Source organism: Homo sapiens, chromosome 12, assembly GCF_000001405.40.
Source record: "Homo sapiens chromosome 12, GRCh38.p14 Primary Assembly".
In the NCBI taxonomy this organism is placed as follows: domain Eukaryota; kingdom Metazoa; phylum Chordata; class Mammalia; order Primates; family Hominidae; genus Homo; species Homo sapiens.
Window position 1 is genome coordinate 125704059 of NC_000012.12, and position 27077 is coordinate 125731135.

General features: G+C 42.8%; 1 long non-coding RNA gene across 1 annotated transcript; it reads left to right on the top strand.

Moving 5' to 3' along the window:
* Positions 1-442: 442 nt before the first annotated feature.
* On the top strand, positions 443-3892 carry LOC105370055 (uncharacterized). Its single transcript, XR_945494.2, has 3 exons — positions 443-557; positions 1962-2107; positions 3643-3892. It is a non-coding gene; the product is annotated as an uncharacterized LOC105370055 (long non-coding RNA).
* The last annotated feature ends 23185 nt before the right edge of the window (positions 3893-27077 follow it).

A 27077-nucleotide genomic window follows, 5' to 3' on the forward strand; every position in this document is an offset into this window, starting at 1 on the left:
ATAATAGAAAATAATTATGAAAATAGAGACAAAAAGAAAACAGAAATGAGCCTGATGCCTCCTTCCTATTCATTGTAAAGGGAGAACAGTGTCTGTTAAGGAGGAGAGGAATTAAAGGTTGCTGGGTATTCCCCCAGCAGCCATCGCCAGTTTTCTTCAGATATTAGGTGGCAGCGTTTGCCTATCCTCTAGTCCAGGGCATAGATCATGATTGTTCTGTCATGCCAGTTATGGTGGTTCTATTATTTTGTGGCTGTCAATGGTGTTGGATGCATCGTTTGACCCACTGAGACATACTTAGAAGCAGTCTTCTGGCATCTTCCAAAAAAAATTTCTCTCTGATAAAAGTAAAAGTAATGCAAAAAAACAAAACAAAACAAAGCAAAATCAAAAAACCCATTCCTATCCCTTTTACTCCCTTTTACTTTTGGGGGCTGCACTATGAGGGTGTGATGTCCGGATATGTGGCAGCCATATTGTTACCATGAGGTACAACCCTGCACATTAAAGTCAATCAGCTGACGGTGAGAGATGAGCCTGGAGCCCTGATGACATAGGTGAGCTGTTGAACCCTTTCTCCATGCATTTCAATGCTTCTTGCTAATCATATCTCTGTGGTTTAACAAAGTGTTAATGTGCTCTCTATTACTGTGGCTGCACTCGTTCCTAACAGACATTCATCCTATATTACTCCTAGTTAGGCCATAGTTATTTCCAGCCTTTGGCTTTTACTCATCCAGCCCCTGCCATTCTACGTCCTTCCTGCCCTTGACCTGTCCGTATCGCAGCCATTTGTCTAGTCCCTGCTTAATATTTAGCTCCAAGGTATTGGAATCAGTGTAGATGTCAAAGAATTACAGTCTTTTTGGAGGTGTCTCTGAAAATAATTAATTATTAAATAATTAGTAATTAAGTTAATGTAGATTAGTATTAATAATTAGATTAATAATAGTAAGCATTAATAATTAGATAGTTAATAATTATTTAATAATTAAATAATTAAAACAAATATTTTATATGGAACAGTAACAACAAAGTTATTTAGGATGTGTATGGACAAAAAGAGAGGGCATACAAAATAAATTTTAAGTGACCTTTCTTTTTTCATTCATCTATTAAATATTTAATAATTATCTACTAAATGCCTGGCACTTTCCTGCACCAAACAAGATAGACATTTTTCTTGTTTTTATTGTTGTTATTGATGGTGGTGTTTCTTCATTATTCCTGACTGGCTGCCTAAAGGTATCTTTGCTTCCTCTGAGGCATAAAATGCACAGACTTTCTGAAAGCTGCTTTGTACTTTTAAATGCAAATTACTGTCTCGATGAGCCGAATGAGGCCTTGGAACAGATGAAACAACGAAAAGGAAGAAAATGAACTTACCTTTCTTTCTTATTTTTGGTTAGTCCACTTATGACCTATTGTCTCTTTCCTAGACGTTAGACTCCAGTGGATCCAACGTCTTTCTTTCATCAGAAATGCCTCCTCAAGATGGTGCCCAACATGGGTGGTTATGGAAAAATGGTCATCAGAAGTGAAGAGATGGCCTCCTATTTGAATTTTTCTTTCTTGGGGCTGTCACTTCACACTCTTAGTTAGCACGGTGACCCCAGCCAGCTTGTCCTGTTGAGAAAGCGCAGGCCCTGCACTTTGATAATGATTTTCCAGGAGCAAATGTATCATCAGTCTGGGTGTTAGTTCGGATTCGACTGTGGCAGAGGATGGCAGGGAAAAGTGGCAGTGAGAACACTTCTCCAAGTGCGAATGGAGGAGGAGGGTGAATACCATGCTCAGGCAGGATTTTCAAGTTTTCTGCGATGGTTTTATAGTTTTGACTTATTCACTTTAGCTGCAAAGGTTTACATTTTAATTAAACTGAGTAATCAACAGCTCACCTGCTATAAACTGAAGTTTAAACCTGATGAATTGGGACTGTTAAAGGTTTTTTATTTTAAAAGGATCATGATACACAGGGAATTGGAGGGAAGAACATAACGAAAAAGAATAATCGTGAATGAAAATTGCTGAAGACGAGTGGCCCTTGTCGTGCGTGGGGCTAGTTATTGAACTTAACTGGAACCTGTAATGCTTATTCTGTATTGAGGTATGTCAGAAATCTCTGTATAGTTGCTCCTTTCTTCCTTCTTCTGGAAGTGCCAGGAGAATCCTGCCAGTCAGAACCAGAAATTAATATCATATATGTATTATAAGAGAAGAGAAACAAAGGCTGGGGGGGAGATGAAGACAATGAAGACATTTGGTCTCAGAATAATACGTCTTTGATGGAGTTAAGAGTATCTGACTCGAGACTCCTAGCACAAAACGGAAGCACATACAATAGCTGAATGCGGAAGGGGGGGGGAAGAGAGAGAGAGGAGGGAGAGAGAGAGGGAGAGAGAGAGAGAGAGAGAGAGAGAGAGAGAGAGAGAGAGAGAGAGAGACTAGGTGGACCAGATTTAGATGCCCAGGTTCTTGGGTTAGGTTGTAAAGACCCCAGACATGTGTATGGATTTTGATACACTGAAATAGATATATATTATATATATTTCTGGCTTACAGGAGGGGATATCCATAGGCTGCAACTGAATTTATAACCAAAGCTAAAATTTCTTTAAGGTTGACATGCCAACATATGTATTCCTAAATACCTATTTTGAAATAGTTACGGATTCCTAGGATGTTGCAAAGAAACATGCAGGAAGATGCCGTGAACGCTTGAGCAGCCTCCTAAAAAGTTAATATCTCACATGACTGTAGTTCAATATCAAACTAAGAAATTGATGTTGGTACAATACACAGTGCTCATTCATGTTTTGCCAGTTATACATGCACTCTTGTGTGTATGTGCGTGTGTGTTTGTATGTGCTTACTTTATAGCTCCATGCAATTTTATCACATGGATAGTTTTTTTGTTTTTGTTTGTTTGTTTTGTTTTTTTTTTGAGTTGGAGATTCAGTCTTGTGGCCCAGGCTGGAACGCGGTGGCACGATCTCAGCTCACTGCAACCTCCACCTCCCAGGTTCAAGCGATTCTCCTGCCTCAGCCTCCCAAGTAGCTAGGATTACAGGTGTGTGCCACGATACCCTGCTAATTTTGTATTTTTGGTAGAGACGAGGTTTCACCATGTTGGCCAGGCTGGTCTTGAACTCCTGACCTGAGGTGATCCACCCACCTTGGCCTCCCAAAGTGCCGGGATTAAAGGTGTGCACCACCACACCTGGCCACATAGACAGTTTTGTGTAACCACCACAATCAAGGTACGTAACTGTACCCTCACCCTACAACTCCTTAGTGCTACCCTTCTAGAGCCTCAGTCTCTTCTCCCCAAGCCCCTACTTCCTAGTAACCACTAGTCTGTTCTCATCTGTATCACTATGTTATTTCACAAACTTAATTCAAATGGAGTCGTGTCACATGTACTTTTTTGAGACTGGCTTTTCTTTCCCTCAGTACAACGCCCCTGATATTTATCCAGGTTGCTGTGTGTATCACTAGTTTACTCATTGCTAGCAGAGTAGGATTCCATGATCTGCCTACACCGCAGTTGTTTAACCATTGACCCATTAAAGGGCATGTTGGTAGTTTCCTGGGGGCCATTTTGGGCCTTACAGATAAATCGTGTAATGTCTCTCTCCGTAGCATTTAAAGAAGTATCTGGGATTGAGCCATCTCACGTCCATCCAACCACACTCACACAAATGGGATGGGTCCACAGCCTTCGGACATGATTGCCTAACTCTGGCAATAGAGAGATGAAGAAGATAGAGAGATGAAGAAGATAGAGAGATGAATAAGAAACACATACAGGTAATTGCCAGACAGAGAGATGGAGAAGAAACACATACAGGTAATTAGCTTAAAAGCACATTCTGTGTTTGTGAGGCGGAAAGAGTGGAAACTGGGGCAAGTCCATTACAGAAAAATAGGTAAACATTCACGTGAACCCCACGATGCACCAAAGAGAGACTGCTTCTCCCCAACATCAGAACCAATTAAAAATGGCAGCTGGGGTGTCCCCAGTCTAAACTCTGCAGGGTTTCCCCGAGTGGAAACTTGTGAAATGGCATTGTTTGCCTGAAGTCTTTATTCCATAAAATATGTTATAAACATTAAACAGAAAAATAAAATTAAAGTTGTGAGAAAGATTAAAGCCATCTTGTACTAATGAGAGACATCTGTTTGTTCCTGTTTTGTAAATGTGCATTTACCCAATAGACAGGAGTTTTTTTTTAAAAAAAAGTTGGAAATAAAAGTTAAAAAAAGTAAAACAAGCTAGAGATGGTTGCTGGTCCTCTGGGGAAATTGACAGAATCAAGGCCACATTTGGAAAAGTTGTGTTTAGAGAAAGGCTCTGCAGCATGATTTCACAGTTTCTGATAAACATATTTGAATTTTAATCTTGCAAATGCTTAGTATCATATGCATCCATACTGTTCCTCATTTGTCTGTTTGGCAGGTGTTAACTGAGCATCTTCTACAAGCTGGCACCTGCTAGTGCCGAGAACACATTGGCAACTAAATCAAATATGGTCACTGTCCTTAGGGAGACTGTGCTAGAGGTGAGACAGGTGTGAATCAATAACATTTAGTGGTTAATGCTCACCTATCTTTTGTGATGCAACCGGCAGTCTTCTAAGGGCTGTGCAAATATATTAGGTTTTCAAATTCTTCTGATAATTCTAAGACAGAGTAAGTCTTATTTTTGTGCCGTCCATTTCTGTTGCTTTCTGCAGCCGGTGTTGACGTGGACTTAGGATTGCTATGAGCGTTTTCATTAGTGGCTCATTCTTCCTCATGGCTCATTGCTCTTCCCAGCTCTGCCTTTTCTCTGGGAAGCTGGTGTCTGGGTTGGCCCTTCATCCTCACTCCTTGTCTTTAGTCCAGGACAGGAGGCAGGGGAGAGAGTGTCTCTGGCTGGAGCAGGAAGATGAAATCACAGGTGAATTGACTGTGGACCTGCCTCCTCCCCAGATATAAAGCCTCCCAGGCCTCGCCCTTTCCTCACAAGGCCGCCTCCCTGCAACCATTTCTTTGCCTGCTTCTAGAGGTTACGGCCCCTCTTGCCAAGCCTAAGTGAAGTCACGGATTAAATATCCAGAACCCAGGTGAGATCCCTTCTTTTGTTTCCAAACAGCTTACAGGTGGGCTCAGATTTGGACGCTAACTGCTTAGAGAAGTTCACCAGGAAACCCTCTCTGCCTGGCACATGATCTCCATTTAAACCTTTTTCAGTTCAAGCAATCAGAAGAAACTTACTGGAGAGAATGAGTTTTTGCAATGACTGAATTGTAGGAAATGTAAAAAAGAAATGCATACTTGGGGCTTTCAGATGTCCACCTTAAACTACAGACACGTCGATATAGCTGGGTGTTTTCAAAGGTGTGCAAGGGGCCGGGCGCAGTGGCTCATGCCTGTAATCCCAGAACTTTGGGAGGCTGAGGTGGGCGGATCATCAGGTCAAGAGATCGAGACCATCTTGGCCAACATCTTGAAACCCTGTCTCTACTAAAAATACAAAAATTAGCTGGGCATGGTGGCATGCACCTGTTGTCCCAGCTACTCGGGAGGCTGAGGCAGGAGCATTGCTTGAACCTGGGAGGCAGAGGTTGCGGTGAGCCAAGATCGTGCCACTGCACTCCAGCCTGGTAACAGACCAAGGCTCCATCTCAAAAAAAAAAAAAAAAGAAGTGTGCAAAAAGGTGTGCAAGGACCTGGCCTGTGGTGGCCAGAAGTGCACTCTTGAGAGGGTGAGCACACTGTCACCTTTCTAGCTTTCCTCATTGTGTAACTCATGAGCAGTATTTCCATGTCCACCAAGCACTGAATAGTTCTTTGGAAGTCCTCCTTTGAGCTTTCAGTGTGAAAGCATGACGCCCTCCTCCCACTCAGGCCTTTGCTGTGTGCTGCAGATTTTAAGAAAGAGACAAGGAGGAGGGCTGCTCTGCTGATTCAGGAGTGAGCATGAACTCTGAGCAATCTTGGGGGCTTTCTCATATCTTTGCTGTCGGCACCACACACCTGCCCTGGCCGACTCTCCATCCTTACCAAAGCCCCCCGGGAAATAATGCTTGTGGTAGGCAGAACAAGGGTCCAAAAGATGTCCACATCCTAATCCCTGGACCCGTGAATATGTGACCTTACATGGCAAAAGGGACTTTGCAGATGGGATTAAGTTAAGAGCTTGAGATAGGTAGATTATCTTGGACGACCCAGGTGTGCACAATGTAATCACAGGGGTTTTTATAGAAAGGGAGGAAGGATGGTGGGAGTCAGAGAAGGCGACGTGGTGATGGAAGCAAAGGTCAGAGGCAGGGGTGGTCACAGGCCCAGGGAGGCGGGTGGCCTCTAGAAGCAGGAAAAGGCAAGGAAACGATTTTTTCTCTTGAATGTCCGAAGGAACACAGCCTGCAGACCCACTCCAGACTTCTGACCTCTGTAACTGTAAGATAATAAATGTGTTGCTTTAAGCACTTGGCTTATGGCAATTGTCATAGCAGTGACAGGAAACGAATAGACTGCCCATTGATCAGTGGGGACAAAGGGCTGCGTCTTCCAGGGCATCTTCTGCCTTCAAGGTGGCAATGTGGGCCCTGGATGCTTAGATTCTGGCTTTTCTCCATTGCTCAGCAGTGAGGACCTGCCTGGACCTCCCTGCTGTGAGTGAACCCCAACACTCTTGTGCTGTGCTGCCCCCAGGACTTCGGAGTAGCCAAGGAAGGGCAGTTTCTCAACAGTTGTCTGAGACTGTCAGGTGTGTGGGCTGTGGGGTTTGCCTTTCTGCATGTGAGAGGCCCTTTTGCTCTGGGCTGGGCAGAGAAGGGAAAAGTGGGGGCAGAGGACAGAAAAGGGAAAAGGGAAAGAGCCTGGGAACCACAGGCTGGTCTTCCCCATATTTTTTGGTGTAAAACTCGGTGAAGTTTGAGAAGTTTAATCCAAACTTGGCTTTTAAAAAAGTGGTTATAAAGGTTAAAATTAAAGTAGAGGGACAGAACGTGCTTTAAGGATTGTTTACTGGATTTTAACTTTGAGCTTTTAGGTGTAGGGTACATGGTGCTTCATTTCCCTTATTCGCTAGACTCTGTAGATATTAGAGGTCAGCCTGCAGGAGAGACATTGCCTTTGCAAACATTTAATTCAGGCTTGGAGGAAATGGATCTAGGTCTACACACGTGAGAGTGGAATACTGGAACAGTTCTCTAGCAGTTCCAGCAGGGGAGTGTGTGGATCCCGAGGTGTATGACTCAGTGTACCCAGTGGCCCCATGGCACCCCCTGAGGCCACCCAGAAGGAGGTGGGGATATAACTCCAGGGCTGAGTAGGGTCCTTCCTCTGGCACCTGCCCTTCTTGCTAGTGAGAGACACAGCTCATTACCTGAATAGGGTCCTGAGCATGGCAGGAACAATCCCTGGGGCTGTTTATGTGGAAACTGGAGTTTTAAGAGAAAAAAACTGGGTGGGATGGGGTGAGATGAGGCATTGATGAATATTAAATGGTAGAACCCTACCAGGTAGCTTCTAGCCACTTTAGATTTACAGATCTTGGCCTTGAGGTTTTTGTTTTTTTGTTGTTTATTTTTTCTACGTGCAATTTGATGATTTGTTTTCATTTGGTGCAATTCAATTCAATTCAATTGGAAACAATAATGAGAGTCTACCTACACTTCACCTTGTTTTGTGCTGGGTGCTGGGAACACAGTGGGTGGTAAGATCCTCTTGTGGGTTCAGTTGCATTCCCACAAGATGATATGTTAAATCCCAACCCTGGGCACCTACCAGTGAGACCTTATTTGGAAATAGGGTCCTTGCAGATGTAATTGAATTAAGATAAGGTCATACTGGATTAGAGTAGGCTAATGACTAGTCTGGGTTAGTCACTGAGCTAAATCCAATGACTAGTGTGCTTATACGAAATCCATGTGAAGACTCTGAAAGAGAGAGGAGAGAGCCTTGTGAAGACGGATGCAGAGACTGGAGTGAGGTGTCCTCAAGCCAAGCAATACCTAAGATTGTGGCAACCAAAGGAAGCTAGGGGAGAGACAGAGAAGGACTCTTACCTAGAAAATCCAGAGGGAGAATGGCCCTGCCAACACCTTGATTTCTGACTTGTGACCTCCAGAACTGAGAGACAATGGGTTTCTGTTGCAAGATACCCAGTTTGTGGATATTTATTAGGACAACCCAAGGAAACTAACATAAGCTTCCTCTCTGCCCTTAAGTTGCCCAAAGTCCAGGAGGAGAAGTGGCCACATAGGTAGGGAAGTACTTGTCTTGAAAAGCCCACAGATTGGGAGTTGTCAATGGCTTTCCAGCTTTGGTATTTCCTCGGGAACACATTTAGGGAAGAGGAAAGCCGCCACATGTGAGTGAGCATTGATGTGAATTGAGCCTGATGTGAATTGAGCATTCCTCAATTCACAGCAGGCTGTCAAGTGCTGGGGCCACTGCTGTGGGCTTCTCCTTGGACATTGGCATAGTTTATAATTAATTACAGCCCCTTTACCCAAAGAATCCACTTTAGAAATAAAATAAAATAAGCTGTTTATATTGCATTCTCTGTTTACTGTGAATTTTTCTTTCTTCCCTTCTCTCTGTTTCTAGCCTTCTGAGAACTCGGTGTGGATCTTTGTGTGCAAAATTCTAATTACTGTTCCCAAGACTGGCACATCTCTTTTTCCTCTTGTATCTCCTCAAAAGTTTCATTTCTGGGTTATTGTCTATTATTTCAGCACATAAAATAAAAAGAATGCTCTTGGCATGCGCTGTGCATTAATTATCATTTGGGAGCTTGCCAGAGCTGCTTGAAGGGGCATTTAGAGAGTTGGTTGTCTTTTAAGTTCAAAGGTGCAAACATACAGAAGAGAAGAATGAAGAAAGCACTGCCTGGGTCTTAGGGCAGCCGACTCTATGGAATGGCTTTTTAAACAGGTTGCTTTCTGTTTGGGGTTAAGGATAAATCAGGATGTACTTTGCCTGGGAATTATGATTTTGACTAATTGCAGAAATAGTCCTGAGCAGAGAGTGGCTCTCTGAAGACTCAGCTGTGGATCCTTTGGGAGAATTAGTTCATGGGTTAAAATGAAACCAAGCTACTTCTTTTGAAAAGTGATGATGGTAAGTCTCTGACTGCCTGTGTGAGGGCTTGGAAATGATTTTTCCTCTCTGGACCTCCAATTTCTCTTCCTGCAAAATGAGATGGTTGTGCAAGGTTCATGATTCTGTTTTTCACGGAACATCCTTAAGAGAAGTGCTTCTGGGAAAACAAAAGCTGTTTCAGAGTCAAATAATACTGAGGAACCTTGAAAACTGTATCTTATTTTTAAGTGATTCACAAGGTACCACAGAATATAAAAGATTGAGATGTCCAGCAATAAAAAAGCCTGTTAAATTTTGCCACACTCTTTCGTTTATTCATCCATTTCTTCTCAATTATTCAATAGGTCTATAACTTAAAAGGATCATAAAATAATGTATGAAATGTACTTATTTAAGTGACATTCATATCTCTATGTATTTTTCAAGGTATCTTCTGTGTCTCTACATTTCATTCCATTTTCCCCAGTCCTATTTTATTTTGCCATTTTATCCTGTTTATCCTATTTTGTTTTATTTTGCCCACTTTTACTGGAGTTGTCACTCTTAACACCTCTTGCATGAACTGTGCCTTCTAACTGGACTTCCCGCGTCCCCTCTTGCACCCTCAAATCCATTCTCTACATTACAACCAGTGGGATCATTTAAAATGGGAATCTCCTTCTATTTCCTTTTTCTATAAAATCCTCCTCTTTCCCACAGGCTTTAACCCTTTCCCCGTTTCCAATAAAGCCAGGCTTCTTCTGGACTCCTTCTGATTTTCCATCTTGGTCACACTAGGGTTCTCCATGCTCCTCCATGGCCCATTCCTGCTGGCCTTTCCCTTAGTTCACAATTTCCCCTCTGCTAGGATCAGTCTTTACCTGTCGTTACCTGGTTAGCCAGTCACCTTCCAGGTTATCAGTTCAAACATCACACTCCTAGGGAAGCCGTCTTTGATTCTGCAAGAGCAGGTCAAATCACATGATTTTATATTCTGTTGGATTTTGTCTGTAGCTCTTACCCCATCACGCTCTTTCCACACTAGCACGACCATGTAGATTGGCCCTGTAGCTCTCCGCTGGTGGTCATTTGACATACGTTTGTTTGAAGACTTGATTGTTTTCCCACTGGAACTGAGACCTCACGGGGCTGGGGCAGGTCTGGTTTTGCCCGCCTGATATGGCTTAGATCTGTGTCCCCTCCAAGTCTCATATTAAAATGTGATCCCCAGTGTTGGAGGTGGGGCCTAGTGGGAGGTATTTGGGTCATGGGCGCAGATCCCTCATGAATGGCTTAGCACTGTCCTTTTACTGATGAGTGAATTCTTGCTCAGTGAGTTCACACAGGATCTGGTTGTTTTAAAAGAGGGTGGCACCTCCCCAACCTTGCTCCTTGTCTCGCCATGTCATGCACTGGCCACCAGTTCACCTTCTGCCATGATTGTAAGCTTCCTGAGGACCTCACCAGAAGCAGATGCTAGCACCATGCTGCTTCTGCAGCCTGCAGAACTGTGTGCCAATTAAATCTCTTTTCTTTATAAATTACCCAGCCTTAGGTATTCCTTTATGGCAACAAAGACAGACTAACACATCACCCTTATGTTCCCAGCTGTTACCTTGGGAGCAGATACTGTGGGCATGGAATTGCGTTTGTTAAATGGATGAATGAATGAATATCCCAGGCCCTATACTACATACTCGAGATAGAGGGATGGATAAGTTATGATCAGTGCCCTCAAGAAAATTAATAAGTAATTAAAATAAAGTGTGTATTGGCAGGTATGTGTGAAAAATATGAGTATATAAAATAGAAATGGTGAGATTTCATGAGAATGAGGAAATAACGAGGAAAATCTTCCCAGTGGATGTTTCATCTGAGCTCAGCAGAAAGAAATAAGCAGGAGTTACTGTCAGCATATTTGTTTGTCTCCATGGGCAGTATTTCTTCCTGATTCTTCTGGTAACCCCTCAATGTTTATTTTTAGCTCATGTAGTTATGATAGGGCAGACCTAGGATACCAGATAAGTGATCAACCAAGCCCAGAAGCTTTTATGAGTAAGATGAACACCAGATTTTTTGCAGGAATAAAGGACTGTGCAGGCAAAGCAGAATGTGCTGTGCTCTAGGGAGGGCCAAGGGACCAAGATCTGAGTGATCAGAGCCCTCCCTTACTGAGGCTACAGGGAATTCATGGCTAGGCATGTCACTCTGTTTTTGGCCAATAAAAATAATTTAAAAGGGTTTCAAAAGATGCAGGGGTGTGTGTGTGTGTGTGTGTGTGTGTGTGTGTGTGTGTTGGGGAGTGTGCTTGAAGTTGGTAGGATGTTAACCAACATAACAAGGAAGGAGAGCAAAAGAGAGTCTGATTATTCCTGGATCCAGCCACATCTGAAGTTAGTCAACTGTCAAAGACAAAAACAAGGCTGGCTCATGCCTGTAATCTCAGCACTTTGGGAGGGCATGTTTGGAGGATTGCTTGCTTGAGGCCAGGAGCTGTAGACCAACCTTGGCAACATGGTGAAATTTCTGTCTCTTGCAAAAAAAAAAAAAAAAAAAAAAGCTGTGCATGGCGTGGCACGCCTATAGTCCCAACTACTCAGGAGGCTGAGGTGGGACGATCACGTAAGCCCAGGAGTTGAAGGCTGCAGTGAGCTATGATCACTTCACTGCACTACAGCCTGGATGACAGAGCAAGACTCGGTCTCAAAAAAAAAAAAAAAAAAGACAAAAACCAGACAAGTTAAGAAGATTGATTTTATCCAACCAATTGCAATAGGAATAACACCGAAAATCTAAAACTGAGAGTGTCTCCATAGAGTGGTTTTGTCTTAAACATTTATAGGGAGGGTACGCAAGTTTCAGATGGGAATATTTACAGTTGAGTAATTCTACAAGCAGGGGAAGTCTCCATCAGCTGAACAGGAAATGTTCTGTGGTTAGCTCATTTCAGAGGGGCAAGCAGTTCTAATCTCAGCTAATCATTCATGAGACACAGAATGAGAAATTGGTCGGGAATGAGGCAGGTTCAGACGGAGGGAAGGGTCTGTGAAGGATAGTGAAGTGGTGGGAGGTGCCACACACTTTTAAATGACCAGATCTTTTGAGAACTCACTCACTATTGCAAAGTTGGCACCCAGCCATGAGGGGTCCACTCCCATGATCCAAACACCTCCCATCAAGCCCGCCTCCAGCACTGGGGATTATAATTCAACATGAGATGTGGGCAGGGACAAATATGCAAACCATATCACTTGGGTGAGCCAATAAACTTTCTCTTTTGTTTAAGGCAGTTTGGATTGGGTTGATGATATGGTTTGGCTGTGTCCCCACCCAAATCTCATCTTGAATTGTAGCTCCCGTAATTCCCAAATGTCATGGGAGGGACCCAGTGGGAGGTAATTGAATCATGGGGGTGGGTCTTTCTCATGCTGTTCTCCTAATAGTAAATAAGTCTCATGAGGCCTGAGGGTTTTATAAAGGTGAGTTCCTCTGCACATGCTCTCTTGCCTGCCACATGTAAGATATGACTTTTCTCCTCCTTTGCCTGCTGCCATGATTGTGAGGTCTCCCTAGCCACGTGAACTGTGAGTCCATTAAACCTCTTTCCTTTATAAATAACCCAGTCTCGGGTATGTCTTTATTTGCAGCGTGAGAACTGATGGATACCATTGGATTTCTATCACAAAAACCCCCATTCTTATTGGTGCCAGAGCCTTCTGGGCAGAAAATTTGGGAATGGACTTTTATAGGATCATTCCAAGCTGAGGCAAGGGGCACAGCAGAGCGAAGGCCAGGAGGCCCCTGTGGCTGGGGCGCAGGCAGAGGGAAGGCAAGTGCACTGATTTGCTGGGGCTGCCTTAAGAAATCATCACAAGCAGCCAGGCGCGGTGGCTCATGCCTGTAATCCCAGCACTTTGGGAGGCTGGGGCGGGCAGATCACAAGGTCAGGAGATCGAGACTATCCTGGCCAACATGGTGAAACCCCGTCTCTACTAAAACTACAAAAATTAGCTGGGCATCGTGGCTCATGCCTGTAATCCCAACTACTCAGGAGGCTGAGGCAGGAGAATCACTTGAACCAGGGAGTCAGAGGTTGCAGTGAACCGAGATCATGCCATTGCACTCCAGCCTGGTGACAGAACGAAACTCTGTCTCAAAAAAAAAAAAAAAAACAAAACCATCACAAGCTGAATGGCTCAAATGACATAAGTATATTGTCTCATAGTTCCAGAGCTCAGAAGTCTGAGGTCAAGGTGTGGGCGGGGCAGGCGCTTTCTGGAGGCTGTGAGGGAGAATCTGTTCCGTGTCTCTCTTGCTACTGGTGGTTTGCTGGCAATCTTTGGCATTTCTTGGCTAGTAGAAGGAACTAATCTCTTCCTTTATCTTCATGTGATGTTCTACCTGTGTGTGTGTCTACCTTCAAATTTCCCCTCTTCATCAGCACACCTGTCCTGTTGGATTAGAGGCCCACCCTTCCCCAGTATGGCTTCTTCTTAACTAATTCCACCTGCAGTGACCCTGTTTCCAAATACGGTTACGTCTGTTGTACTGGGGGTTATGACTCCAGCATATGAATGGGGATGGGTACAATTGACAGGAAGGTTAATAGGAGGCTTTGGCAGTCTTCTGAGGAGTTCATGTTTTATGCTGCAGAAAACATAGTCCCTGAATTTTCAGGTGTATCAAATTACCTAAAACCACTCTGTATTTCCTCTAAGAAAACAGGCAGTTTGATGTCCTTACTTTGTCCTGCTCCCACCCCCAACATCTACAAAACCTTAAGACTGGTGTCCTGCGTGAACCCTTAGCATTGCTGCTTTTAGATGGAAATGTCCTCACTCTTGACGCAACTCGGCAGGTGGAAGTGACTCTAGACTGGATTTTTCTGGGCTGCTGATGAGCTGCAACGGACCTGCCATTGGCTGCCATTGCCACACACCCCTTCACTCTTCCCTCCAGACCCCTTGAAGTCCCATTTTCTTCCTGGGATTCAGATTGTGATGGGGGCAGTACAATGGCTCCCATTTGTCTGGGGAATCTTCACCATAAGGCAAGGGCAGAGCTCACCAGAGCTCCTGGAAGTGGTCATTGCAAGGGTCAAGTCCCAACCTTGTGTCCAGCAGCCAACATGGACCTCTAGGTATGTTTCAATCTTCCCAGAGTGTTGTGTTTCCTTTAAAAAATGGAAACAGATGCTCACATTAAAAATGAGCAGATTTTATATGAAAATGCAGATTCTTCATTTCTTTTTAAAAATCAGAAGCTTTGGCATCATTGGGAGTGGATTTCTGCCTGCACTGTCCTGCAGGATCTGAGGCAATGCTTCCCACTTTATCTCACACGTCACTTCACTCCTACCCTTTATACCATCAGACTGGCCCCTGTGGGCTTTTGTAAAAAAATTTTATTATTATTATACTTTAAGTTTTAGGGTACATGTGCACAATGTGGAGGTTTTGTTACATATGTATACATGTGCCCTGTGGGCTTTTGAGTTTGAGACCTGGGTTACCTGTTTAAGGGAGAGAGCCTTGGATTCAGACAGAATTGGTAGAGTCCTAACTCTGATACTTAATACCTATGGATGCTAGGGCAAGCTGTTTGATCTCTTTGAGCCTCAGTTTTCTCATCTATAAAGGGGGAGGACAAGGATAATACCAACCCATTGGGCGGTAGTGGAGAATACATCAGGCAAATTCTGCAACTGGCTCAGCAGGGGCCTGGGTCACTATGATTGCCCCTTCAATGGTAGAAGTCAGTGTCTTAGGAGTGGCAGCAATAGTAGAGATGGCAGTCATATTAATAGCATCTTTGTACCCCTGGTGCTTTGCTCACTGAAGCAACCCTGGCTCGGAAAACTGGCAGGTACAAGAGAGGCAGGCTGATAGGCTGCAGCCAAGATCTTGTCAGAAGCCCAACATGGCAACCTGGTTTTAGGTCATTCCATCAATCCAGAACCTGCTGGACACTTGTGCAAGGTGGGGAGCTTTGGTTGGAAGTAACAGAAACCACATGAGTGTTGATGCTGCAAACAATAGACCTCACCACCTTGCCACTAGTCTTGTCTCTGCATGGCTTTCTCTGAGTTCAGGTCCAGAGGAGGAAATCCATGCACCAAGGCTAGGTTTCCTCTGTGTGCCTGAGTTAGAGGAAGGCTGGACTAGAAAGTCTAATCCTCTTAGTAGTGAAGCCATGAAAAGTCACACAATGGCCTTACCACTAGTCAAGGTACCTGACTATTGGACAACTCTTGCCCCCACACTGATGATGTTTCTTTGCTTCAAGACTACAAGCAATATTTTGTGGCTGGCATAGTCTTCATGCAGCCAATAAAATCATTCCATATAGCATGGCTTTCCAGAGTGACATATGATTGGACCAAAATTAAGACATGTAAATGTGGCTATACAGGAAATCGTCTTCTGTCTTCTACATAGAGAAAGCCAATCTTACCTCCCAAAGGAAAGACTTCTTGCATACAAGACAATCCTACCCATAAAAAGAGAGGTAAAATGTTTCCTAGCATCGGAAATGTTACTCAAAGGGGTTCTGCTCTGGGTGAATTGAATTAGAAGATTAAAAAAGGAATTTCTCTAGTTCTAAGATTCCTTATGTTAAAACATGTTTGGAACAAGAATCTATGGGGTACTATATTCCAAGCAATTTAAATTTTCAGAGAGACCATTTAGGCATCTTGGCAAATTCATTTTTGCTCTGGTTTTAACTTCATTGACTGGATTAATCTGGTTTGAAGTTCACAGGACTGCTGGATATTTTTGTAAGGCGGGACCTTTGGTCACAAGTGACAAGAATCACCTTGAGCTAGCTGAATCAGAAGTGGGTATCTATTAAAAGAAACAGAGTTGTCTTGTGGAATGCAAAAGAAAAGCTGAAATTGGGTGTCAGAAACTAGGACCTGGAAAGACATCGGAGTCTGAGGGGTCCTCTTTTTCCTGGCTTCTTATGTCTTCTGCAACCTCGCTGGTCCACAGATTGGTTTTCTCTGTGGCAGACAGAAGATGGTTTCCTATAATAACTACATTTACACATCTTAATTTTGGCCAGATCATACTTCACTCTGCATCTATATGGAATGATTCTATTGGTTGCATGAAGACTATACGAACCACAAAATATTGCTTCTAGTTTTGAAGTAAGGAAAAAAATCTTCAGTATTGGAGCAAGAGTTGTCCAATATTTAGGTACCTTGACTAGTGCTTAGGACTTCTTAGGAACCACAGTTCCTATTTCAAAGCTTATCAAGGTTTGCACCAAATTATAGTCACTAATTGTTAAAACCGCATTTTCACAATAACAAAAGTGATGTTTTCTTATTTTCTACCAAATTGAAACTAACACCTCCATTATGTATCACATTTTAAATTATTTGATATACAGTTCCAACCTGTGAAGGAAAGTGGAGGATTTTGAAATCTGTTTTCATATCTCTGCCAAAATGTTAGGTTTGTCTCCCGTGGGGAAGTCATGAGCACGCTCTCTTAAAAATAGATGGCGTTTTGGTTTGGAAAAAACTTCAGGTTTGTTCTATAGTACATTCACTTAAATATCACACTTAAATTTTTTTTTTAAAAACATAGGGATCTTACTTTGTCACCCAGGCTGGAGCGCAGTGATGTGATCATAGCTCATTGCAGCCTCAAACTCCTGGTCTCAAGTGATCCTCTCACCTTAGCCTCCCAAATAGCTGGGATTACTGGCATGAGCCCCCACATCCAGCTTACATCTCACACTTTTAAAGGAAAAGCTTTAGGGATGGCCTTTAGGTTAAAGCTCCTTACAATGTGCCCTAGATGGCTTGCAATATTTCTATGCTGAATATTGAAAGGAGTCAAATGCTGGGTTGAAAAAAAATGCCACACAGGTTGAGGTTTTTGTGCGTGTGTGCGCATATGTGTGTGACTGTGTGTGTGTGCATGTGTGTATATGTGTGTGCACATGTGTGTATGTGCGTATATGTGTGTGCACATGTGTTCATGTGTATATGTGTATATGTGTGTGCACGTGTGTATGTGTGTGCCTGTATGTATATGTGCGTGCATGAGTCTATGTGTATATGCATGTGCACATGTGTGCCTGTGTGTACGTGTGTGCATAGGCGTGTGTGTGCATGTGTGTATATATGTATGCGTGTGTGTATGTGTGTGCACGTGTGTGTGTGCATGTGTGTGTGTGTACTAGTGAGTCTTGATCCGCCCTAGGTGCCTAGCTTTGCTTTTCCTATATTATACTAGATGGAGCTCAGCGGCTTCTGATACTGGGAGGAAATGGTGAGCAGAAAGTGTATATGATTGCAGAGCAGTGATCCCAGTAAAGGGCACATATTTGTATGATGTTTTAGGAACAGTTACAAAGACCTTCAATTCAGAGTTTGATAAAATGAGGCAGAAAGGAGAGTATGATATGAAGTTTCAAGAGGAAAAAAAGGTGGAAAGGGGTAAGAAAAGGAAGGAGGAAAGAAGAGTAGGGTGTTGTCAGCATATTAAATTAATTAGAGGCAAATTAAGTAAGCTGACTGTGCAATAGTTCTGAGAGAGAAGGGTTGTGTTTCTAGTAGGCTCTTTGCACAGGTTCAGGTGCCAGAGAGAAGACAAAGCTGCCAATACTTTTCGCACCCGAATCCAGGAAAGTCAGGCCACTATCAGCATGCAACCCTCCCTGAAAGGCAGCCTCACGCCTCTTCTGGGGCCCTGGGTATTCTGGGGAGTCCTCAAGATAGGAAGGTGTGACAGTGCCATTGATGGGGTGGTTCTTGTTTAATCTGAAAGCAGAGCACCCTTTGATTTCTACCGTGATCCCTTATTTAGGTGCCAGGGTAGGAAAACCCTTTAGTTTTTCTCTTGTCCCTTGGTGCTCTCATGTTGAGGTCCCTGACTGTGCTCCTTGGAGACACTGGTGTGCCATATGTTAGTGTCAAAAGAGATGAACCTGCTCCTGGACAAGCTGATGGGCAGAAACCTGACTCTGTAGGTCCTGTAATTCAGATAAACATCTGAACTTTTGAATGCTTATTATATAGACCTTTACCATTGATTTCAGCATGGGGAGGCATAATCTATCGCTACATCTAAATTTATAAAGCAGAGACCATTATCTTTCTGCTCCAGGTTTCAAATAATGGTTGTACAATGATTTTCATTCCTGCACTGCACTTGGAGAGAAAAACTTTTCAGCAGATTTTATTAAAAGGCTTTTAATCCATGAAAGCTTAACCAGCTCAAGTGGGTTTAAAGCACCGCTGCTACTTCACAGAGGATACACGAAGCCTAGTTGTCTAATAACCACCACTTGCTATAATAAAGATTTTGGATCAGAGCTGATGAATTACAATGTTTCTTAAATCTGTTTCTGCCAATATCTCTAGACATTCATAACCTCTTTTATTGCCTTCTCCTCCTTTGGGAGCTGAAGGGAGGGATGTTCTGTTACCTCTTAAGTCCCTACAGCACCTGAATTGAGTTCCATTTTTTCCTCCATATATAAAGATACTTTCAGCCTAATCCCACAGGAATGGTTTAGGGGTTTGTGGGAAACAAAACCTCATGGTTTTAAGCTCCATTGTATGTTCAGAGAGGTCTGAGCTTTTACATAACACATTTTCTTATCCATGTTTCTCCAAAAAATAGTATTGAACAATTTTGCGCCCAGTTTTCTTTCCAGGAGGAACACTTACCTCCCAGGCTCTTGGCCTTTACCAAAAGGGGCTCATACACAACTTCTCTGAAATGACAACACACTATTAGTGATAATAATGGGCACTTGACCTTGTTTGCAAATATTTTTAGATCTAATTCACACATCTAATAGAAAAATTACTATTACTTATTAATCATAAGCCAGGCATAGGGCTCAGCGCTGCCCTTGCATTCTCTCATTCAGTTGTGCCAACAATATTCAAGGGTGGGTGATGTTACTGTGGCAGAGACTGGCTGGCTGGTTTCCAAACATTGCCTTGCCTCTGGGGCTTTAGCTGAATGGCATTTTCCAGCATCCATCAGTTGTATTCTGGCTCATGGAATGGGATGTGCACGTTTGTAGCTCTCTCCATGTAGCCTCCTGCTCAGTCCTTCACACACTCCCTTCCCTAGTCTCTTGGCCAGATGCAGAGGATCTGAGTAAAGGTCCTGAGGCCCTACATCCTTGCCTAGCTACAGGATGGCAAGGCTTGAGCAGGAGGAAGCCTGAGTCCCTGAATGACTGCATGAAGGCTCCCTAGGAAGATGAGCAGGGACATCGTCCGCCTGTGAGCCCAGCTGATTCGTTGGCTCAGGCTGCCATAACAAAGTGCCACAGACCCTGGATCCCAGCTTTACAACCTCATTTAACCTTAACCACTTCTTTAAAGGCCCTGTCTCCAAAGTCAGTCCTGTTTGGGGTTAGGACTTCAACATTTGAACTTGAGGAGAAAACAGTTCACCATAACAACCAGTGCAGTCCAGCCTTGGATAATGACTCTTCTGGATATTAACAGAGAATAGTCACACAGGAGAGAAATTGATTATCAAATTTACTGGAAATATATTAGGACTTGTCAATTTGTCATTGTCTTGTGTTCACTAAAACTGCTGAATTCTATGTATTTGAGCATTTGAGAGAGATATAGATATACACACATATATATACACATATATACATACATACGTGTGTGCATATATATCTCTCTATATATCTATATCTATATCTATATATCTATATCTATATCTATATCTATATCTATATCTATATCTATATCTATATCTATATCTATCTGTATAGAATGCATAGAATTCAGCTCCCTGGAGTGGGTTCTCTTGAAGGGAGATGTGAGAAGAACATCTATGTGGTAACCCAACGTGTGACCATGTTTGTCCACAAACAGGAGGTGTTTGACCATGAAACAGCTTTATTTTATATTTTGATAGTTTTATAACAAACGAGTCATTTTCAAGGAGTCATGCCTCACTAATTTATAGATTCCAGATGCATTTAACACACACAGTCCTAGACAGTCCAGGTTTATCCTGCTAATAGGTAAGGCTTCTCCTGCTAGAAAATACCTTCACTGTGTTTGCTGGAAGGTCTCCCAATAAAGATGCCAGATTGAACAAATAAAACCATAAGATGCCTAATTAAATTTGAATTTCTATGTAGAATTATTTTAGTATAAGTATGCCCCATGCAGTAATGGGTACATACAGCTACTAAAAAAAGCACCGTAGTTTATCTGAAAGTCAGATTTAACTGGATATTCTGTATTTCATCTGGCAACACTATCTTCTAATAACTAGTTTATTAGGACATGTGAGTGGGGTGGGGGGTGTTTTTTTTCTTCCTCCCAGTGGTAGACCTAGTAAAGGAAGAGGATGAATTGCAAGCTTGCAACTAACCTTTTGCTTCATAATGGATATTTGAGTTTGGAAAAGATGCTTTCTCTTTACCCATTATCCATGCCTTTCTCACCCAGCCATTAATACGTATAGACTGGGCAGGCTTTATAACCAAAGAATGCTTAGGGAGAGTTTTGAGTGTGGGAAAGGGCTCTCTGGGCAGAAATAAAATAAGAAACTAGGCAAGAAGCCCAGGGAAGTGGCCAATCTGTGAGATAGCATTTTCTTGTCTTCCCTTCTTTCTTTTTCTTTTCTTTCTTTTTTTTTTTTTTGAGACAGGTCTTGCTCAGTCACTCAGGCTGGAGTGCAGTGGGATGGTCATGGCTCACTGCAGCCTCAACCTCCTAGGCTCAAGCAATCTTCCCACCTCAGCCTCCTGAGTAGCTGGGACTACAGACATATGCCACAATTCCTGGCTAATTTTTAAAAAAATTTTGTAGAAATGGGGGTCTCACTATGTTGCCCAGGCTGGTCTCAAACTCCTGGGCCCAAGTGTTCCTCCTGCCTTAGCCTCCCAAAATATTGGGATTACAGGTATGAGCCACCACACCTGGCCAGCATTTTCTTATGTTGTGTGTTTGCAACCTTTGGGCTTACACCTTACACTATTTTTTTTTTAGCAAGTCTTTTTCTTTTTTTATTGGGGAAGAGCTGAGTGTTGGGAAAAAAGCTGAGGCAGGGTTTGTATATCTGACATAATGTAAAAGAGTCTTGGAACATGTCCAAGGTCCAGGGTCTAAAACCCCTCATGGCCTTTGGAACACCAAGCTCTGTGCCAAAGGGTGGAAGGCTGCCCTGCCGCACCACAATCTAAGCCCAGGGCATAAAACCCCTCATGGCTTGGATGGAATCTAGGGCTTAGGGCATAAAACTGCTTGTGGCCTCTGGAATGTGTCTAGACTTGCTGGCTCCTTGCTTCTAGCACTCCCAGGCTCATAGATCGATTGTATCTTAAACTAGAAGAACATGTTTCCCATTATCTCAAGTATCAGAACATGTTCCATATGCTTCAAAGAAAATGCCAAACCGTCACAGCTGTAGATCATGCTCTTGATACACTGCTTTTTTTCAACCCCCACATCCTCACCACCTTCTTCTTTGTTTGATCACCAATAAATAATGCAGGCTTCCAGAGCTCCGGGCCTTCACAGCCTCCATACTAGCGTTGGCCCCCTGGTCCCACTTTATGCACTCTTGTCTTGTCTCATTCCTTTAACTCTGCCAGAATTCGTAGCTCCCATGGCCTGATGTTGGGGCTGATCACCCCAACAGTTTTTCACTTTTTTTCTTGTTCCTCCTCTCTCTGTAATAAGCAAGGCCTAAAGTTCAGCACATTGCATCATGTGACATGAACAGAAAATGCATGCTGCATTTTGCAGCAAGACCCTTGGCCATTCATCTGAAGAGTCTAAATCTGGAAGAAAGGCCAAATGCTGTTGGATGTTGTATTAGGCTGTTTTCACACTGCTGATAAAGACATACCTGAGACTGTGTAATTTGTAAAGAAAAAGAGGTTTAACAGACTCACAGTTCCATGTGGCTGGGGAGGCCTCACGATCATGGCAGAAGGTGAGGGAAGAACAAAGGCATGTCTTACATGGCACCAGGGAAAGAAAGAATGACAGCCAAGTGAAAAAGGGAAACCCCTTATACAATTATCAGATCTCATGAGACTTATTCACTATCACGAAAAAATTATGGGGGGAAACTGCCCCCATTGTTCAATTATTTCCCACGGGGTCCCTCACATGACACGTGAGAATTACGGGAGCTACAATTCAAGATGAGATTTCAGTGGGTACACAGCCAAACCATATCAGATGTGGACTTAGTAGGTTAGGACTTAGTAGGTTACTTTTGGTGACACACAACATTATTATCAGTCTGTCCTAAACAACAGAGAGAATTTATTGGTTCACGTAAATGTAAAAGAACAGTAGCAGCGGGACTTCAGGCAAAGCTGCATCAGAGTTCTTATTTAATTTCTCCACAAAATTACAAGCTGAATTTCTCTTAACTTTATCCTTCTCTTGTGGCCTTCAACCTCACAGCCACTGCAATTCTACTGCAGTAAATTTCCTAAGGTAACAACCCAAGTGTGTAAGATGTGGAGCCTAGATTTACACCCATGCCATCTAAATCCAGAACCTGCGCTCATGGCAGGTATGTTGCATCCAGGCTGGGTATGACTGTTTTCCACAGGCATGCCTCGTTTCATTGAACTTCTCTCGACTGTGCTTCATAGACACTGTGTTTTTTAAAAATTGATGGTTTCTGGCAACTTTGTGTTGAACATCTGTCAGTGCCATTTTTCCAGCGTCATGTGCTCACTTTGTGCTTCTGTATCACAATTTGGTAATTCCTGCAATACTTCAAGCTTTTTCTTTTCTTTTGAGACAGAGTCTCACTCTGTTGCCAGGCTGGAGTGCAGTGGCATGATCTCTGTTCACTGCAAACTCTGCCTCCAGGGTTCAAGTGATTCTCTTGCCTCAGCCGCCCGAGTAGCTGGAACTACAGGCCTGCACCACCACACCTGGCTAATTTTTGTAGTTTTGGTAGAGATGGGGTTTCACCATGTTTGCCAGGATGGTCTCGATCTCCTGACCTCGTGATCCTTCTTCCTCGGCCTCCCAAAGTACCAGGATTACAGGCGTGAGCCACTGCACCCAGCCCAAGCGTTTTCTTCATTATTGTATCTGTTATGGTTATCTGTGATCAGCCATCTTTGATGTTACTAGTGTAATTATTTTGGGTTGCCATGAACCACGCCATATAAGATGACAAACTTAATTTGATACATGTGGTATGTGCCCTGACTGCTCTACCAACTAGCTGTTCACCTATCTCTCTCCCTCTCCTAGGGCCTCTTTATCCCCTGAGACACATCAGTATTGAAATTAGGCCAATTAGTAACTCTGCAATGGCCTCTAAGTGTTCAAATGAAAGAAAGGGTCACACATCTCTCACTTGAAATAAAATACAAGAAATAATTAAGCTTAGTGAGGAAGATGTGTTGAAGGTGGAGACAGGCTGAAAGCTAGTTAGGCCTTTTGTGCCAAACAGTTAACCAAGTTGTGATTTCAAAGGAAAAATTCCTCGTTTCATTGAACTTCTCTTTACTGTGCTTTATAGACACTGTGGTTTTTACAAATTGAAGGTTTGTGGAAACTCTATGTTGAGCAAGTTTATTGGTGCCATTTTTCCAACAAGTTGTGATTGCAAGGGAAACATTCTTTAAGGGAAATTAAAAGTGCTACTCCAGTGTACATATGAATGATAAGAAAGCAAAACAGCCTTAGTGCTGATATGGAGGAAGTTTAAGCAGTCTGGAAAGAAGATCAAATGAGCCTCAATATTTCCTTAAGGCAAAGCCTAATTCAGAGCAAGGCCCTAACTCCCTTCAATTCTATGAAGGCTGAGATCGTCGAGAAAGCTACAGAAGAAAAGTTTGAAGCTAGAAGAGGTTGGTTCATGATGTATAAGGAAAGACCTTGTCTCTATAGCATAAAAGTGCAAGATGGGCTGGGCATGGTGGTTCACGTCTGTAATCCCAGCACTTTGGGAGGCCCAGGCGGGCAGATTACGAGGTCAGGAGTTCGAGACCAGCCTGGCCAATATAGTGAAACCCCATCTCTACTAAAAATACAAAAAAATTAGCTGGGCATGGTAGTGAGCACCTGTAATCCCAGCTACTCAGGAGGCTGAGGCAGGAGAATCACTTGAACCCAGGAGGCAGAGGTTGCCGTGAGCTGAGATCATGCCATTGCACTCCAGCCAGGGCAACAGTGCAAAACTCCATCTAAAAAAAAAAGTGCAAGGTGAAACAGCAAGTGCTGATGGAGAAGCTGCAGCAAGTTACACAGAAGATCTAGCTAACATCATCGATGAGGCTGACTACACTAGACAACAGATTTTCAATGTAGAGGAAACAGCCTTCTGCTGGAAGAAGATGTCATCTAGGACATTCACAGCAGGAGGGGAGAAGTCAATGCCTGGCTTCCAAACAGGGGACAGGCTAACTATCTTGTCAAGGGCTAATGCAGCTGGTGGATTTAAGTTGGAGCCAATGCTCAGTTATCATTTGGAAAATCCTAGGGCCCTTAAGAATTGTGCTAACTCTTCTCTGCCTGTGCTCTATAAATGAAACAAGAAGCCCAGATGACTGCACACCTGTATACAGTATGGTTTGCAGAATATTTTAAGCCCACTGTTGAGACCTACCTGTCAGAAAAAAATATTCCTTTCAAAGCATTGTTGCTCCTTGACAATGCACCTGGTCATCCAAGAGCTCTGATGGAGATGTACAAGGAGATTAATACTGTTTCATGCCTGCTAACACAACGTCCATTCTGTAGCCTATGGTTCAAGGAGTAATTTTGACTGTCATGTCTTATAATTTAAGAAATACATTTCAAAATGTTAGCTGCCGTACATAGTGATTCCTCTGATGGATTTGGGCAAAGTAAATCGAACATGTTTGGGAACGAATGCACCATTTTAGATGTCATTAAGAACATTGGTGATTCATAGGTGAGGTCAAAGTGTCAACATTAACAGGAGTTCCAACACTTATGGCTGACTTTGAGAAGTTCAAGACTTCAGCAGAGGAAGGCACTGCGGATGTGGAGATGGCAAAAGAATTAGAATTAGAAGTAGAGCCTGAAGATGTGACTGAATTGCTGCCATCTTATGATCAAACTAAAATGGATAAAGAGTTGTTGCTTATGGATGAGCCATGAAAGTGGTTGATTGAGAATATAATCTACTCGTGGAGAAAATGCTGTGAACATTGTTGACATGACAGCAAAGGATTTATAATATTTTATAAATTCAGCTGATAAAGCAGGAGCAGGGTTTGAGAGAATGTATTCCAATTTGGAAAGAAGTTCGACTATGGGAATCCTCCCTAACTCATTTTATGAGGCCAGCATCATCCTGATACCAAAGCTGGGCAGAGACACAACCAAAAAAGAGAATTTTAGACCAATATCCTTGATGAACATTGATGCAAAAATCCTCAATAAAATACTGGCAAACCAAATCCAGCAGCACGTCAAAAAGCTTATCCACCATGATCAAGTGGGCTTCATCCCTGGGATGCAAGGCTGGTTCAATATACACAAATCAATAAATGTAATCCAGCATATAAACAGAAACAAAGACAAAAACCACATGATTATCTCAATAGATGCAGAAAAGGCCTTTGACAAAATTCAACAACCCTTCATGCTAAAAACTCTCAATAAATTAGGTATTGATGGGACGTATCTCAAAATAATAAGAGCTATCTATGACAAACCCACAGCCAATATCATACTGAATGGGCAAAAACTGGAAGCATTCCCTTTGAAAACTGGCACAAGACAGGGATGCCCTCTCTCACCACTCCTATTCAACATAGTGTTGGAAGTTCTGGCCAGGGCAATTAGGCAGGAGAAGGAAATAAAGGGTATTCAATTAGGAAAAGAGGAAGTCAACTTGTCCCTGTTTGCAGATGACATGATTGTATATCTAGAAAACCCCATCGTCTCAGCCCAAAATCTCCTTAAGCCGATAAGCAACTTCAGCAAAGTCTCAGGATACAAAATCAATGTACAAAAGTCACAAGCATTCTTACACACCAGTAACAGACAAACAGAGCCAAATCATGAGTGAACTCCCATTCACAATAGCTTCAAAGAGAATAAAATACCTAGGAATCCAACTTAAAGGGACATGAAGGACCTCTTCAAGGAGAACTACAAACCACTGCTCAATGAAATAAAAGAGGATACAAACAAATGGAAGAACATTCCATGCTCATGGGTAGGAAGAATCAATATCGTGAAAATGACCATACTGCCCAAGGTAATTTATAGATTCAATGCCATCCCCATCAAGCTACCAATGACTTTCTTCACAGAATTGGAAAAAACTACTTTAAAGTTCATATGGCACCAAAAAAGGGCCCGCATCGCCAAGTCAATCCTAAGCCAAAAGAACAAAGCTGGAGGCATCACGCTACCTGACTTCAAACTATACTACAAGGCTACAGTAACCAAAACAGCATGGTACTGGTACCAAAACAGAGATATAGATCAATGGAACAGAACAGAGCCTTCAGAAATAACGCCACATATCTACAACTATCTGATCTTTGACAAACCTGACAAAAACAAGCAATGGGGAAAGGATTCCCTATTTAATAAATGGTGCTGGGAAAACTGGCTAGCCATATGTAGAAAGCTGAAACTGGATCCCTTCCTTATACCTTATACAAAAATTAATTCAAGATGGATTAAAGACTTAAACGTTAGACCTAAAACCATAAAAACCCTAGAAGAAAACCTAGGCATTACCATTCAGGACATAGGCATGGGCAAGGACTTCATGTCTAAAACACCAAAAGCAATGGCAACAAAAGCCAAAATAGACAAATGGGATCTAATTAAACTAAAGACCTTCTGCACAGCAAAAGAAACTACCATCAGTGTGAACAGGCAACCTACAAAATCGGAGAAAATTTTCGCAACCTACTCATTTGACAAAGGGCTAATATCCAGAATCTACAATGAACTCAAACAAATTTACAAGAAAAAAACAAGCAACCCCATCAAAAAGTGGGTGAAGGACATGAAC